The sequence below is a fragment of the Homo sapiens genome, chromosome 15, assembly GCF_000001405.40.
Source record: "Homo sapiens chromosome 15, GRCh38.p14 Primary Assembly".
NCBI lineage: Eukaryota > Metazoa > Chordata > Mammalia > Primates > Hominidae > Homo > Homo sapiens.
This window is the reverse complement of record NC_000015.10, coordinates 90,430,117-90,446,174: the sequence shown is the minus strand read 5'-3', so window position 1 is coordinate 90,446,174 and position 16,058 is coordinate 90,430,117. Positions and strand designations below refer to the sequence as shown.

The 16,058-nt window shown below is 38.0% G+C and overlaps 1 protein-coding gene across 2 annotated transcripts in view, besides 1 other annotated feature; it reads right to left on the bottom strand.

Annotated features, from left to right (window-relative positions):
• The window catches only part of IQGAP1 (IQ motif containing GTPase activating protein 1), a 113,998-nt gene that overhangs the window by 56,065 nt on the left and 41,875 nt on the right, over positions 1-16,058 (bottom strand). For both annotated transcript variants that reach the window (NM_003870.4, XM_047433204.1), the window contains exons 5-9: positions 12,380-12,456; positions 6,776-6,843; positions 5,560-5,673; positions 4,491-4,669; positions 2,697-2,781 (exon numbers count right to left, since the gene is read on the bottom strand). In NM_003870.4, coding sequence (NP_003861.1) covers positions 2,697-2,781; positions 4,491-4,669; positions 5,560-5,673; positions 6,776-6,843; positions 12,380-12,456 — 523 coding nt within the window. The remainder of the gene's footprint in view (positions 1-2,696; positions 2,782-4,490; positions 4,670-5,559; positions 5,674-6,775; positions 6,844-12,379; positions 12,457-16,058) is intronic.
• Positions 8,911-9,111: a silencer, noted in NCBI's record as "peak2420 fragment used in MPRA reporter construct". NCBI's record gives its function as "represses an SCP1 promoter by STARR-seq MPRAs in K562 erythroleukemia cells {active_cell/tissue: K562}" and the evidence as "EXISTENCE:reporter gene assay evidence [ECO:0000049][PMID:32103011]".

The following is a 16,058-nucleotide window of genomic DNA, read 5'->3' as shown; positions in this document are numbered from 1 at the left end:
ATATTTTATGTACTCTATGCAACAGGAAACATCGTGGACTTTCTTCTCACAGAGAACCAACCATAAGGACACTCCAGTTTATATTTGCTGACTTAAGGATTAATACAGATTCAGCACAAGATACCATCCACACTTGAATGGATTATTCTGCTAGGAAGGTCATTATCCTAAATGAACCAGAAGGTAGCAGAATACAAAGAATGCTGGTCATCCACTCAGGAGGCTGAGGCAGAAGAAATCTCTTGAACCCAGGAGGCAGAGGTTGCAGTGAGCCGAGATCGTGCCACTGCACTCCAGCCTGGGCTCTGTCTCCAAAAAAAAAAAAAACCCAAAAAAAAAGAATGCTGGTCAGGACTTAAAACTCCAATCCTATGCAATTGGTAAAATCTTCTAAATCCTCTCTAGTTATTAGTATTAGTTCAAATGAGAAATTTGGCCCTCCAAATGAACAATGAGAACAATTACTATTATTATTGTTATGAGTATCTTGAGCAAAACAAGATTAAGCCTGACCTAGTTGGTTGAAATCAAACCTTTTAGTTTTTTTGGTGAGTCTAAACCTATGCTAGGAATTAGGAGGACTTCAAAAGAAGCAGAATACGTAATCTCTACTTTAAGGAGTTTACAAAGATGTCAGAAATAAAGATCAAGCAATACAAGACAATATATAATTAAGTGCAAATTTATAGGGATGAGCCTGTGTACGACACAGGAGATTTGAAAGTCAACCATATTGAACTGTGACAGGCACTGAAGTGAAAATTGAACTGGATCTTGAATGATGGGTACAATTTGGATTAGGAAGAGATGAGGCATGAAGGCATTACAGTAGGGAGATTACATGACATAGCGATAATATTAATGTTCATTGAGTACTTACTAAATAGCAGGCAATTTACATACACTATCTCGTATTATATGTCTAACAACGCTACTGCAGGTGCCCAATGTTACACAGCTTTTAACAGAGGAACAAGAGATCAAATACCAGGTCAGTACCACTTCAGAGCCAGATTCTTTTTTAAAAAAAAAAAATTAATTAATTAATTTTTTGAGGCAGGGTCTCACTCTGTTGCCCAGGCTACAGTGCAGTGGTGCGAACACAGCTCACTGTAGCCTCAACCTCCTGGGCTCAAGCAATCCTCCTGCTTCAGCCCCCAAGTAGCTGGGACTACAGGCGCATGTCACCACGTCCAGCTAGTTTTTGTATTTTTTGTAGAGACAGGGTTTCGCCACATTGCCCAGGCTGGTCTCAAACCTAAGCTCAGGCAATCCACCTGCCCTGGCCTTCCAAAATGCTGGAATTGCCTGGCCCAGATTCCTTTTAAGTCATAAAATGTACAGAATGAGTATGGGAGGTAATTAGGCAAATGAGCTTCTACAAAGAGCTGTATGCATGAAATATTGCATAAAGAACTGCACTAGGCTAGGGATCTGCATTTTGTCTGGCAAGTATGAAGTAGTCATGGTGAGTTCTTTAGCAGAGTAGTGACAAAATGATAATTTCAATAAATTAATTTCCCAAAAGTAACACATATATAAAAGTCAATATTAAAAGTATAATCTCATTTTTGTTTAAATATGTTTTGGAGGCTGGGCAAGGTGGCTCATGCCTGTAATCCCAGCAATTTGGGAGGCCAAGGTGGCAGGATCACTTGAGATCAGGAGTTTGACACCAACCTGGGCAACAGAGCGAGACCCTGTCTCTTCAAAAAAATTTTAAAAATCAGCTGGGTGTGGCAGCGCATGACTGTAGTCCTAGCTACTAGAGAATTTGAAACAGAAGGATGGTTTGAGCCCAAGAGTTTGAGGCTGCAGTAAACCATAATCGCAACTGCAGCCTAAACAACAAAGTGTAACTCTGTCTCTTAAAGAAAAAAAAAAATATATATATACACACACACACACACACACACACACACACACACACAGTTTTGAAGGACATACAAAAAAATGCCAGTAATGATTATTCCTAAGTGATGATTATTTCTAAGTGAAGGAGTCTAATTTTTGTGGTTTATTTTTTATTTCTAGACAGCTTGCATTATTCTTTAAAGGAAAAACAAAAATATAATGTTACTTTAAAAAAATAGAAAAATATTTTTTTTTTTTTGAGACAGAGTCTCACTGTTGCCCAGTCTGGAGTACAGTGGCACCATCTCAGCTCACTGCAACCTATGCCTCCCAGGTTCAAGCAATTCTCCTGCCTCAGCCTCCCAAGTAGCTGGGACTACAAGAGCACGCCACCATGCCCGGCTAATTTTTGTATTTTTAGTAGAGATGGGGTTTTACCATATTGGCTAGGCTGGTCTCGAACTTCTGACCTCAGGTGATCCACCCGCCTTAGCCTCCCAAAGTCCTGGGATTACAGATATGTAAGTGCTGGGATTAATCAGCCACTGTGCCTGGCCAGGAAAATAATATTTAAAAGCATGTAATAGGGTGAAAGAGTGAAACTGTAGCCAAACAGACTACTATGATGCTACTGTCAGTGTAGGAACAAGCGGCTGACTGAAGATAAATAATTAAAACGGAGGCATAGAAACACAAAAGATTGTTAACAAGCAATTATTGCTAAACAAATCCACGAATGTCTAAAGTAAGTAAATCAAACTATGTTGTAAGTCCCAGAATAGATCAACATTCACATTATATTATAATATCCCTTTAGGTGCCTGATTCAGGAACATACTTACTATTGACTTTGTTTATATTGCCTTGAATTTCAGCTTGCGTGAGCAGCTCCTCATAAACATCTCTTTCTCTCTCTGAGTTTTCTGTCTGAGGATGAGTAAAAAGCGTAATTAAGTTAGCTTAAGGTGTCTAAGAAGACCACATAAATACACGTGTGCTCCTCCTGCACCATAACACTACCAAGAATATGGGTGTAGCTTAAGACCCTTTATAAAGAACAAAGCAGGCACAGTAACTCATGCCTGTAATCCCAGTGCTTTGGAAGGCCAAGGTGGGAAGATGGCTTGAAGCCAAGAGTTTGAGATCAGCCTGGGCAACATAGCGAGACCCCATCTCTACAAAAAACTTTTTTTTATTAGCCCAATGTGGTGGCACATGCCTGTAGTCCCAGCTACTCAGGAGGCTGTGACAGTAAGATTGCTTTCCCCAGAAGTTCAAGGCTGCAGTGAGTTATGACCGTGCCACTGCACTCCAGCCTAGGTGACTGAGCGAGATTCTGTCTTTTTTTTGAGACAGAGTCTCACTCTGTCACCCAGGCTGCAGTGCAATGGCACCATCTTGGCTCATTAAAAACTCTGCCTCCTGGGTTCACGTGATTCTCTTGCTTCAGCCTCCTGAGTAGCTGGGACTACAGGCGTGCACCATCATGCCCAGTTAATTTTTTTGGTATTTTTAGTAGAGATAGGGTTTCACCATATTGGCCAGGCTGGTCTCAAACTCCTAACCTCAAGTGATCTGCCCGCCTTGGCCTCCCAAAGTGCTGGGATTAGGGGCAGCACATCCTTGCCTCAGATCTGAGCAGAATGGGCACATACAGATCCACAATCCTGGAGTCTCACTGGTGACATAGGCAGAGGCAGGGCAGCAGCTACTTGCCTGCAGGCCAGTTTGGCACCTAACTGGGAAACTGAAATCCCTGCTCTATGATAAGAGATACAAAGAATGTTCTGAGAGCAGGATTGTCTTCGTTTTGTCATCAACCACTAATTTTAACAAGGGGTGGATAAATTTGTGTGAAGTTTTTTTTTTCCCCCCCGAGACGGAGTCTCGCCCTGTCTCCTGGCTGGTGCAGTCTTGGCTCACTGCAGCCTCCACCTCCCAGGTTCAATAGATTCTGCTGCCTCAGCCTCCCAAGTACCTGGGATTACAGGAGCCCAACACAACGCTGGGCTAATTTTTGACTTTTAGTATAGATGGGATTTCGCCATGTTGGCCAGGCTGGTCTCAAACTCCTGACCTCGGGAAATGAGATCCTCAGATTCAGTTTTTTCAAGTCAGAATCATTTAACTAACTTCCACATACCCATAACAACTGTACACAAACATTTTACCCCAGAGAATCTGGGAAAGAGGAAAGACTATGTTAATATTTAGAGATAATCTTTCCAAAGGGCACTATTAATTTTAATGGCTACGCTCTAGAATTTTATTTATATAAAATTCAAGAAGCAGAGGTCAAAATGGAGCCTCACACCAAAAGATTAGATACTGCATCATTCCATTTGTATAAAATTCTTAAAAAGGTCAATGGCAGCAATAGAAAATAGACTGGTAGTTGCCTGGGCTCAGGGGTGTGGGTAAGGTGGAAACTAATTGCAAAAGTGCACTAAGGAACTTTCTGGGAGTGATGGTTAAATGATCACATATACTTTTCAAAACTCAAACTGTACATTTAAAATCCGGTGAATTTTGTTGTATGTAAACTGCATCTCAATAAAACTGATGTTTAAACTGGAGCCATATCAAATGACGGAATAATATAAATTAATTAGAAAGAATAGATGTTGCATTTTTACCCTGTTTTTAGCATTTGTCATTTTGTCCTGCTTAGCCTGGTAAAGTATATCCTGGTAAGTGGATGCCAAGGGCTCTTCAAGATTTACAAGCATGGCATTCGGATTTTTCAAAGCTGCAAATGTGTCGGCTGGAATTCTACGGTCAATAGCTTCATTAATAGCAATAACAGCAGCATGTACTAAAAAAAAAAACAAAAAAACAAACCAACAAAAACACTGAGATTATATAGATTACAGGATGTATATCACAACAGAAAGCAACATTGCACCCCCCATTAGAGACAGAGGCTCCTTTTCACAGAGAAATAACAACTGGGGTTCGAAGACTGGCTCCCTGGGCCAGGCTATGAGCCTAGCCTCTTCCTTACAGTATGCAAAGCCACAGCTCCATCTGTGATCCATGTCTGGGATGGTGAATTTAGAATCTCACAGAGAAACACTCATAAGAGAGCCTTGCAAGGAACACTTGCTCTGGAGATATCTGCCTTAATTACCAAGTAAACACCATAAAACAATAAGAAACTCAATGAGCCACGGAAATGTAGGACTTCCTTTCTTTTTTTTTCTTTTTTTTTTTGAGACAGAGTTTCACTCTTGTTGCCCAGTCTGGAGTGCAATGGCATGATCTCGGCTCACTGCAACCTCTGCCTCTTGGGTTCAAGTGATTCTCCTGCCTCAGCCTCCCGAGTAGCTGGGATTACAGGTGCACACCACCATGCCCGGCTAAATTTTTGTATTTTTAGTAGAGACGGGGTTTCACCATGGCCAGGCTGGTCTTGAACTCCTGACCTCAGGTGATCCACCCGCCTTGGCCTCCCGAAGTGCTGGGATTACAGGCGTGAGCCACCACGCCCAGCCAGGACTTCCTTTCTAAATGCTTTCACTTTAATCAGAATTAATCATGTATTTCCAAATAATAACAGCATGGAAGACTATGTGTTTACAACTACATCTGTGGACTTAAACTTGCTGGCAAGATTCATAATGTCCTAGATCATCACTATAGAATTAATTATTGGAAATAGTGGCAACAATCCCAGTTGAACCCACAAAATTTCTCTCTTCTTACATGCGGCTTCATCCACTGACAGTTCATTAGCCAAGATGCCCCCAATCTTGCTAAAGGCAGGCATCTGGATGCCATACTTCTCCAACTCAGTCTTCATGTTGTTGATTTCTTCTTCTACAGGAGGGAATTAATAATCAGTCAATCAAGCTAAGCACCCTTCCATAACCAAGAGAAGGAAACATATTCCTCAACTATGCAATGGGATAAAATGGCATTTACCTTTTAGGGTTTTATAAGGATATAAAGATACAATGTATGGAAAGCACTTAACACAGTAACTAGTATATAAAATGTAGTCAAACGTTATTATTATCAAGGGCATCAAAAATAACTATAAAGTGAGAAGGTCCTACAGGAAATAGTTTTTCAAAATTGCTACTTATGGCATTTCCTACAATGAACTTATAAATGGAACAGCTTTAACGTGAGCTCAACAATAAGTGAATCACAAACTAAGTCAGTTATCTCAGTCTTTACAATCATTAGCTGCTATTCAACAATTTCATTTCTAAGGCAGAAAGCCAAATGATAAAGAAAACATGTAAGGTCTGGTCCTTTCCCCAGGTCTGGTGAATAACTTCCCTGGAAGGAAAAAATATCATGGACAAAAACTTTCTTACCAATTTTTAAACTTTCAAGCCTACAAAATAATCACCACTTTGAAAGACTTGAATCTATCTTACCCTTAAACAGTATTACCACTGCCCTTTTTCTCCCCAACCCCTCATCTCTTCAAGCATCTGGCTATAGCAAATACACATAGAAACACCCACCCAAATAAGCTTAAATTTTAAAATTACTAAATTGGCATCTTTGTGTCATCTCACTCCCCACTCTCCCTCTTGCTTTGCCCACAACAGATGCTTGCTGGAATGGAAAGGGAAAGATAGTTATAAAGCTTTTTTCAACATACCCGAACATTTAGTGTTATGTGTTAACATTATTATGTTTTATATATGTTAATGTTATCCCCAATTTACATATAAGAAAACTGAGACTCACTAATCATGTTCACATTATTAAGTGAGAGAACAGAGCTTGAAATTTCAAGTTTAGTGTTCTTTACCCCACATTAGAGAAGCAAGTTATTCGTATTTTTTTCACCTCCACTGCCAGTGTATTTTTAAAGCCCTAGGTCTTCAAAATTGGTACTGCTGGCTCTCCAGGCTATTTCCACATAATTCAAGCATTTCCTGCCAAGTATCTAACTCCTTACCTGTGAAGTCAACCTTTCCATATAGGTCTTGAATCTGAGGGGCCAGGCCTAGCTTGAACAGGTACAAACTAGAAGATACAATATGCAAAAGGTTAGGCCTCCCAGCTGTGCCTAGCTGCCACCCTTAAAAGGCGAAAATCAGCATGAAGTATAAAATAGAAGTATTCTGAACACTGAGACTCCCAGTACCTACGACAGTCTCCTTTGTAGTTACAATACGCTATTTACCTCAGTTTTTTTTTTTTAGTTTACATGACAACATTGTCCTAAAAAGTCACATAACACAATGCAAAGAGCACTGGACTGGGAGAAATCAGTAGGCACAAATTAAAGTCCCGGTTCTGGCACAAACTCAATGCATAATTAGATGTTAATGGCCAGGCACAGTGGCTCATGCCTGTAATCCCAGCACTTTGGGAGGCTGAGGTGGGCGGATCACCTGACATCAGGAGCTTGAGACCAGCCTGGCCAACATGACAAAACCCTGTCTCTACTAAAAATACAAAAATTAGCCAGGCGTGGTGGCATGTGCCTGTAATCCCAGCTATTCAGGAGGCTGAGGCAGGAGAATTGCTTGAACCTGGGAGGCAAAGGCTGCAGTGAGCCGAGATCACACCACTGTACTCCAGCCTGGGCAACAGTGTGAGATTCCGTTTCAAAAAAAAAAAAGATGTTAACATTAATGTTAATATAATGTGAAGTGTCTCTTCATTTGTTTGCCTTCCTGTAATCAATAAGTTTTAAATAATAAGACATTTTAGAAAAGCTTCATAAAAATGATTCAGATGGCAAATCTTACTTAAACTGAATTCATATTACTGATGGAAAAGTTTAATCCAGGTAATTTAACAGTTTTAGATAAAGAATATTTCATATATTTTTACTTTTTAATTATCAGGTTGGTGAAAATTATTTTTACTTTTTAAACTTAAAAAAAAATCAACTAGACTCTAAGCTTCATGAAAGCAGGGACAATACAGGGCTCATTCACTAATGTTTACCCAGAGCCTAGCATATATTAATAAACATTAATCAATATTTGACAGATGGATGGACGGATAAATTAATGTCCATAAGCCTGTGTTATTAAGTGGATTCTAAAGCCCTAACTGATCAGAATCAATAAATTAGAAGAGATCAGAAGGGTACTTTACAGATACTGACAAAAGCAAGATATTGACAGTTTAAAGTAAGCAGGGAAATAAGAAATATATAAGAAATAAATCATAGAAACTTAAAGTGGTATACAGTTTTTGTAAATAATCTATAAACCTCAATATCATCTAAATACAAACACGCATCATGTACACTGCAATCACAGAACTGATCAAAATTTAAATTGTATATAATAAACCCAAATGTATAATAGAAAAACAAAAATCAAGTATTCTCAAAACACACTAGAATTTATACATCCACAGAAGCTAAACATTTTCTCAGAGAAGTGCAAGTATAAGTCATGTGTATATGATTAAATGCTTTTCTTTCAGGTAAAAGACTCAAGATGGATATATAAAGCGCCTGTCTCAGAAGATTTTAAATGTATTCAAAAAATTCTCCAGACTGGGTGTAGTGGCTCACACCTGTAATTCCAGTACTTTGAGAAAGAGAGGCAGGAGGATAGCTTGAGGTCAGGAATTCAAAACAGCTTGAGCAACATAGCAAGACTTGTCTCTACAAAAAAAATTTCTTAATTAGCCAGGTATGGTGGTGCATGCCTGTAGTCCTAGCCATTTGGGAGGCTAAGGCAGGAGGATAGCTTGTGCCTGGGAGGTTGTTACAATGAGTCAAGATCACACCTCTGCGTTCCAGCCTAGGCAAAAGAGTAAGACCCTGCCTCTTTAAAAAAGAAATTCCAAAGCAAAATAACTAATAACTTTCTATATATTTTTATACATTTTTATATATTTTTTATATATTTTTCTCACTAATACATCACATCTGCATTCTTAATTAAGAGAATATTTTTCTCCAAGAATTTCTTTCTCATTTATTCCTACTTGGAAATAGCGAACAAGAAATTTTAAGAAAGTTCAAGAATGTTGCTGATATGGTTTGGGTCTGTGTCCCTGTCCAAATCTCATGTCAAATTGTAATCCCCAGGTGGGGGCCTGGTGAGAGGTGATTGGATCAATGGGGGCAGGTTTCCCCCTTGGTGCTGTTCTCCTAACAGTGAGTGAGTTATCGCTAGATTTGGTTTTTTAAAAGTATGTAAGCACCTCCCCACCTCTCTCTTCCTCTTGTTCCTGCCACGTGAGACGTGACTGCTTCCTCTTTGTCTTCTACCATGATTGTAAGTTTCCTGAGGAGGTCTCCCCAGCCATGCTTCTTGTACAGGCTGTGGAACCTTAAGCCAGTTAAACCTCTTTTCTTTATGAATTACCCAGTCTCAGGTATTTCTTTATAGCAGTACAAGAACGGACTAATACAGTTGCTTTCACAGTACCAGGAACACTGACTTAGCTTTTAATGTCTTTCAGTGGTAAATTAAAGGTGCTACAACCGTATCACTGGCTAATATAAAAAGTAGACATGGGCACCATCTTTCTTTTAACTCTCTTTAATTATTACGAGTATTTTATGGAGACACTGGAGCTATGAAAGGATTCAAAACGGCCAGTTAAGTCCTCTTACCCACAATCAAAAGTACTTAGCTTCACACTGAAACTTATAAACCCTAATGGTGAACAGCACTTTCCAATCTTTGCTCCTGCTCTCCCATGCCTACTTCTACAAATATACTGTTAGGCACTATAATGCGTCAGCCTGTAACTGCACTTAGATTTATTTTTCTTATTTCCTACTTAAGCTGTACTTTGTAGCAATGGGCAGAAGGAAGCTATGTTAATCTATCTGGATTCTAATTATCTTTTCTGTGAATGGTGAGTAACCTAGAAGTCACTATGCCAATCTCAAAGATTATTAATAAAGACCCTGAAACACAGCAGGTGATTAGGAAACAGAATCTACTACAGGTCCACAGTCCCTTATCCAAATTCTTGGAGCCAGATATGTCTGAATATTGAATTTCTCAGATATTAGAAAGTGTATTTCTATTTACAGTGTATATGGTATCATAAAGTATCCCCAGCAAGCCCTGGGGCAGCATCCTCAATCCAATCCATTACTTTCTGCAGAGAAACACACAAACATAATCATACTAAGGAGACAAATGAGCTTACACCAAACTTAGTATACAAGTATTTTGAGAATGGAAAACTGGGGTCTTATCTGAGAGTGGAATGTTATCTACAAAAGTAATTTAGTATGATTAAAGTACAGTGACTATCTCTGGAATAATGCCAATCAAGACTTTAGAGGAAAAAAAAAAAAAAAGGCAAGCAGGGAGGAGACAGAGAGGTAGTATTTTTCTGTCACTGTTGATCCAAAGGGAGATGGAGCCTTATCCAATATAGCAAGGTGAGGAACCTGCTTTGAACATGGCTGTGTTTTGTGGTAAAAGAAGGCACTTTCAGCAATTATAAATACTTCCTACATATTATCAAATGTTGCCAATCCACCCTTCAGGAAAAACACCATAAAAAAGAAACCATAAATCACGAAACACACTGCTCTATATATACTTTCTAAGCACAGACTACATATTCAAGAGAAATGGAAAACAATAGCAGACTTCCTCTCTTTCTCATTCTGACTCTACCACTAGGAAGGCATAGTTAATTCTTTAGGCTCTACTACAGAGAATTTGAGGGCCTGGAACCCAGGTTACACTGCAGAGTAGTGGCTACACAACTAGCAGAGAGGAATTCTGCTTCCACGTTCAGATATCCATTGCAGGTAAGGCCTTCACAAGATTATCAACATGGACAAATCTCATGCAACACTAAGCCAAACAAAATACTCAGAATTAATCTGATCTGGACTCAGACACACATATTTGGTAATGTTTTGTTTTGTTTTTTAGAGACAGAGTCTCGCTCTGTCATCCAGGCTGAAGTGCAGTAGCACAATCATAGCTCACTGCAGTCTCAAACTCCTCGGCTTAAGTGATCCTCCCACCTCAGCCTCCAGAGTAGCTAGGACTACAGGTGAATGCCACCATGCCTAGCTAATTTTTTATTTCTTGTAGAAATGGGGTCTCGCTACGTTGCCCAGGATGGTCTCTAACTCCTGGCTTCAAGCAATCCTCCCACCTTGGTCTCCCAAAGCACTGGGATTACAGGTGAGAGCCACTGTACCTACCCAGCCTCAGACACATATTTGAAATTGCTACATTCTCAACACGAGATCCACAAGTTCTCAGCTATATTCATTCTTTCATATGTTTCACACTGATTCCAATGATACCACAGATCTAGTACATGTTTGCTCAAGAAACTGGAGACAATAGTCTTCTTATAGATCAGTATTATATACCTACTCCAATGTAATTAACACTTAGCAAGCACACATAGAGGATGCCATATAAGAAGTGCAGCCCAAGCAAATATCTCACTCATGTCCCACTTGCTCTGCCATCTTCTTCTTTAGTCCTGTGGCCATCAAGTAAATCTGCTAAAATACTACACTACTGTACCACAGGTTGAGTATACCAAATCTGAAAATCCAAAATCCAAAATGCTCCAAAATCTAAAAATTTTTAAGCACCAACATGACCCTCAATGCTATAATTGGAGCATTCTGCATTTCAGATTTGGCATGCTCAACTGGTAAGTATAATGCAAATACTTCAAAATCCAAAACACTTCTGGTCCCAAGCATTTCAGAGAAGGGATATTCAACCTGTATAAGCATCTACTAATATGCCATCCCACCATCCTTCCAGACTTGCATCTTTTCCTTCCTATTTAATTTAGTGTTCTGGGGACCTGAAAATTAAGTCACATTCCAAATTTACCATGACATTATGGGAAAAAAATATATTTTGTATCATTTCTTACTATCATGTTTGTGTTGGTACAAAAATTATTATTATTATTATGATTATTATTATTTTTTTTTAGATGGAGTTTCGTTCTTGTTGCCCAGGCTGGAGTGCAATGGTGCAATCTTGGCTCACTGCAACCTCTGCCTTCCGGGTTCAAGCAATTCTCCTGCCTCAGCCTCCCGAGTAGCTGGGATTACAGGCACCCGCCACCATGCCCAGCTAATTTTTTGTATTTTTAGTAGAGACAGGGTTTCACTATGTTGGCCAGGCTGGTCTTGAACTCCTGACCTCAGGTGATCCACCCGCCTTGGCCTCCCAAAATGCTGGGATTACAGGCGTGAGCCACCGCATCCGGCTTATAAAAATTATTGAATGAATGAACAAATGGCTTAACAATGGCAAGGACCTACCTAACTAAACAAGAGACTGCACCCCAAGTGAATGCATAGTTCACAGAAATACTAGATCAATTATGAAAGATACCATGTTTTTAGAAGAAAATTACCTGCTATTAAATAAATAAATCCCTTCTCCAAACTCCCTAGAAAAACACAGCTGTTTCTCACCATTTTGTTCGGATAATAGTATTTTATCCTATTTGGAACTTTTGAAACTAATCAAAAAACTTTTTCATTCTTACCTCAAGGATAAAAAACTACACACTCAATTCAGATGTTATTCATAATTTCCTTATTTTGCCAAGAAAATTTGACTACCTGAGTGCATGGATACAGTAGATACATCTTGGCATGTTCTTTCGATCATAGATATCTGTAGTTTCTGGGTAAAAAATCTAGGGAGAAATAAAAGAAACAGAGTAAGATATCCATTCACTGTGTTCATCTGACATTCACCAATCATCAATAATCCAAATCAAACTATGGACAGTTAGAAAACATCGGTGGCATTCTTAGAAAACATCGGTGGCATTCAGCAAATAACTTCATTAGGGTGAACAGACATTTCATCATAAGAATTGCAAGGAATAAAGTGCTATAATACAGAATAAAAAGTACTACTTGGAAAATCTCTATTTGGACAACCCACTGAATTTCATTAGGTGTGAGAAGGTGATTTACTTATTTCAGACCCAGACACAGGCATATGAAGACCAAGTTCTAGTCCAGTTTAAATCACTGGACTGATCTGAGTATGAGGCTTTCAGAACTACAATGCTCCTAGTTACTATCTACCATGCCTAGATGGAGAAACAACTCAACAATGAACATTTACTAAGTGCTTTAGTTTGTGCAACCTGCTACATTTAGACATTGAAAAAAACTATAAAATATTAAAATGTGTTTAATGCTTAGGAGAAATGGGAAGCTACACAGATGAAGTAGCTAGAATAGAGCATGTATGAGGGAATTTGGAAGACAAGTACTTTTCCACGGTAGCACTTACCAAAATCGATCATTTGTGTTTATCTGTTTGGCTACTCCAACAGACTATAAGCCACACGAAGGCAGGGCTAGATCTATGTTATTTATTAACTGCCATATCTTTGATATCAAGCCCAGAGCCAGGGTCATGGAAGCTCTACATTCGATGAGTTAGTGAATGAGGTAGGATAGGAACAGAGTAGATTTAGACTGGGAATAGCCTTGAACTTCAAGGCCTATTCTCACAGTCATGTGGCACCATACAATTCAATCTGTAATTTAGGGAAATAAGGGGTGACAGTGGTTCGGAGAAGCAAAAGACTGAATAATGAGGTGAGAAGAATTTGGATAAGCAATAAAGGCCTATATTAAGACTGTGAAATCATAAACTAAAGAAATGAGTGAATCATGATAGAGAGCAAAAGGCCTTCCAAATAAGAGAAATAGCCAGAATAAATAAAGCAAAAATAATCATGATGTGTTTGTGAGACAGTAAGGCAATATACCCTATTGTTTTTTAAAATCTACAGAATACGTTCTAGAAAATAACAGAAAAATAAGGTTGGATAGGTAGGATAAAATCAGATTATTATAAGCAACTTGAAAGTCAGACAAGTCTGAACTTGATAAGCAGGACATAAAGAAGTAGCCTAGCTTTGGAGCTAAGGATAAAAATAGAGCCCTGGGGAGATCTGACTGGAGACAGGACACAGCATATGTTGAATAATGGGAGATGGGAGCTGGGGAGGTATGCTGGGAGGCTGTTGTAACAGTAGATGGATAAAAGAGATATTTCAAATAAATGGAGAAGGCTTAGGGAATGACCAGATTTAGAAGTTCAAGGTATCTCCAAGGTTTTGAGACTGGATGACTGGGAAAATGATGACATGGTACCATTTATTATAGAGGAAGGGAAGTTCAGTTGGGGAAAAGGTAGATTTAGTTTTAGATATGAAAAATTCTAGGTGACAGAAAGCTATCCAAGGAGAAATGTCCAGCAGCCAACTGAAGATACCGTGTTTATCTTATGTCAGCAAGTCTTGAGAATAAATGAAACCATGAAAATGGGAAAATGTATCTAACAAGGATTGCATCTTAAAGTATGTCCATCACTAGGACATGGAAGGTAGAATAATTAAAGAAAACAGGACTAGTTGAGCAGATTAAAAACAATTTTAAAAATCAAACTAAGAAATATCTCAGGGAAAAGGCAGCCAACAGTACCAATTATAATAAAGAGTCAAAAAGGATAAGAACCAAAAAATGACTGCATGAATTTTCTATAATAGGCCAGCATGTACCATATAAAGAGATTAGAAAAGACATCCCAATAAACACCATATACGTATTGTCAATTACGTATTATACATTATATTAAGAACAACAATACATTTTTAGGTTATCATTAGTTCTTATTACTCAGAAGTCTTCTGGGCCTAAACGTAGGGTGGACAATTCAAGGCTTACAGCCATGATTATCAAGTTGTTCCTGAAAGCCTTTAATACATTCTGTGTTTGTTGCAATTGTAGTCCAGGACAATATACTACTGTTAGTAAACCAAAAAAGGTAACAAAATTACATCATTAAAAAAGCATCTCGTAGTAACAACACTACTAGCAATTGCAAATATTAACAAAGCTCTTAGTAACATTCAAATGAGGTTATTGTCATTGCCCACTGGCAATATACTATATAAAAAACAGAAACAGGAAGTTACAGGTGCACAGTGTAATATTTTACACTATATAGCACAGTATTTTATACTATATTAAAAAACAGGGAAAGGAAATTACAGGTGCACAGACAGGCCACGTAGCTGTAAGAACTTGACGTACTGCATTTCCTAACAATTGTGGGGCCTAATTCTCAAACATACCAGTGGCAAGGAAGAGAACTTCAGAACTTTCTCTGAAAAAAAGAGGAGAAAAGCTAGTCTTCTGCAAAGACTCAGTTCTGATTTAACACAATTCCACAGGTATGTATGCAACAATGCATATCTGTTGTATATTGTATACATATCAATATACTATATACGTAATATATAATTACATGTTGTAATATATTGTGTATATATAATATATAATATATTGTATATATGATTATATATTACAATATGTAATTATATATTGTATATTATATAATATTGTAAAATTATATTACAATATATTCTATATTGTAATATATTGTATAAGTCATATATTTATCTATATAATATACATATTTGTATACAATATTTATATATTGCACAAAATACAAAATATAAAATGTATACAATATTTCTATATTGAACAAAATACAAAATATAAAATGGTTTTAGCCACCTTCTGATACCCTACACCTCACTTTTTTAAAATAAATTTTCCTTTGGTTACAAAAATTTGAACTCTACAGGAAAGTACAAGGAAAATAAAAACCACCCTTAATCCCATCACACAGAAATGAAAACCATTTTATCTCCTTACAAATTTTTCCCAAGAACACTCACTTTATTTTTACACAAAAATAGTGATCTGATCTTAGCTAGAACACAAACTCCTATAACCTTCAACCGTTTTTCCCCACTTAATACATCAAAGGCCCTTTACTTGGGTTGATATCCTTTTAAATGGCACTAGTATTTGGCTGTAACACAATTAATACCCCTTGTAAAGAAACATGTACTTTGCTATCAATTTTTTCTATCATAATCAATGCTAAAAAATCCTTCTGTATACATTTTTTTGGTGCTTTCTGATTATTTACTTCGGATAACTTCCCAGAAGCGGAATTCTTACGTCAAAGGATATAAACAGAAAAAAATGAGAACAAAAGAAAGAATGAAATCAATCAATCCATTCATGTCTCTAAGAGTGACCATACAGTGTGGCAGTTATAGATTCAGACAGGACTGGGATGGCAATTTCACTGAAAGCAACACTAAATAAACTCCTGAGCAGAACACCCAGAAGATGTACACTCCAAACAAAACTGCAGCCATGACCAAAAACAGATCCAGGAAGTAAACGTCATTCT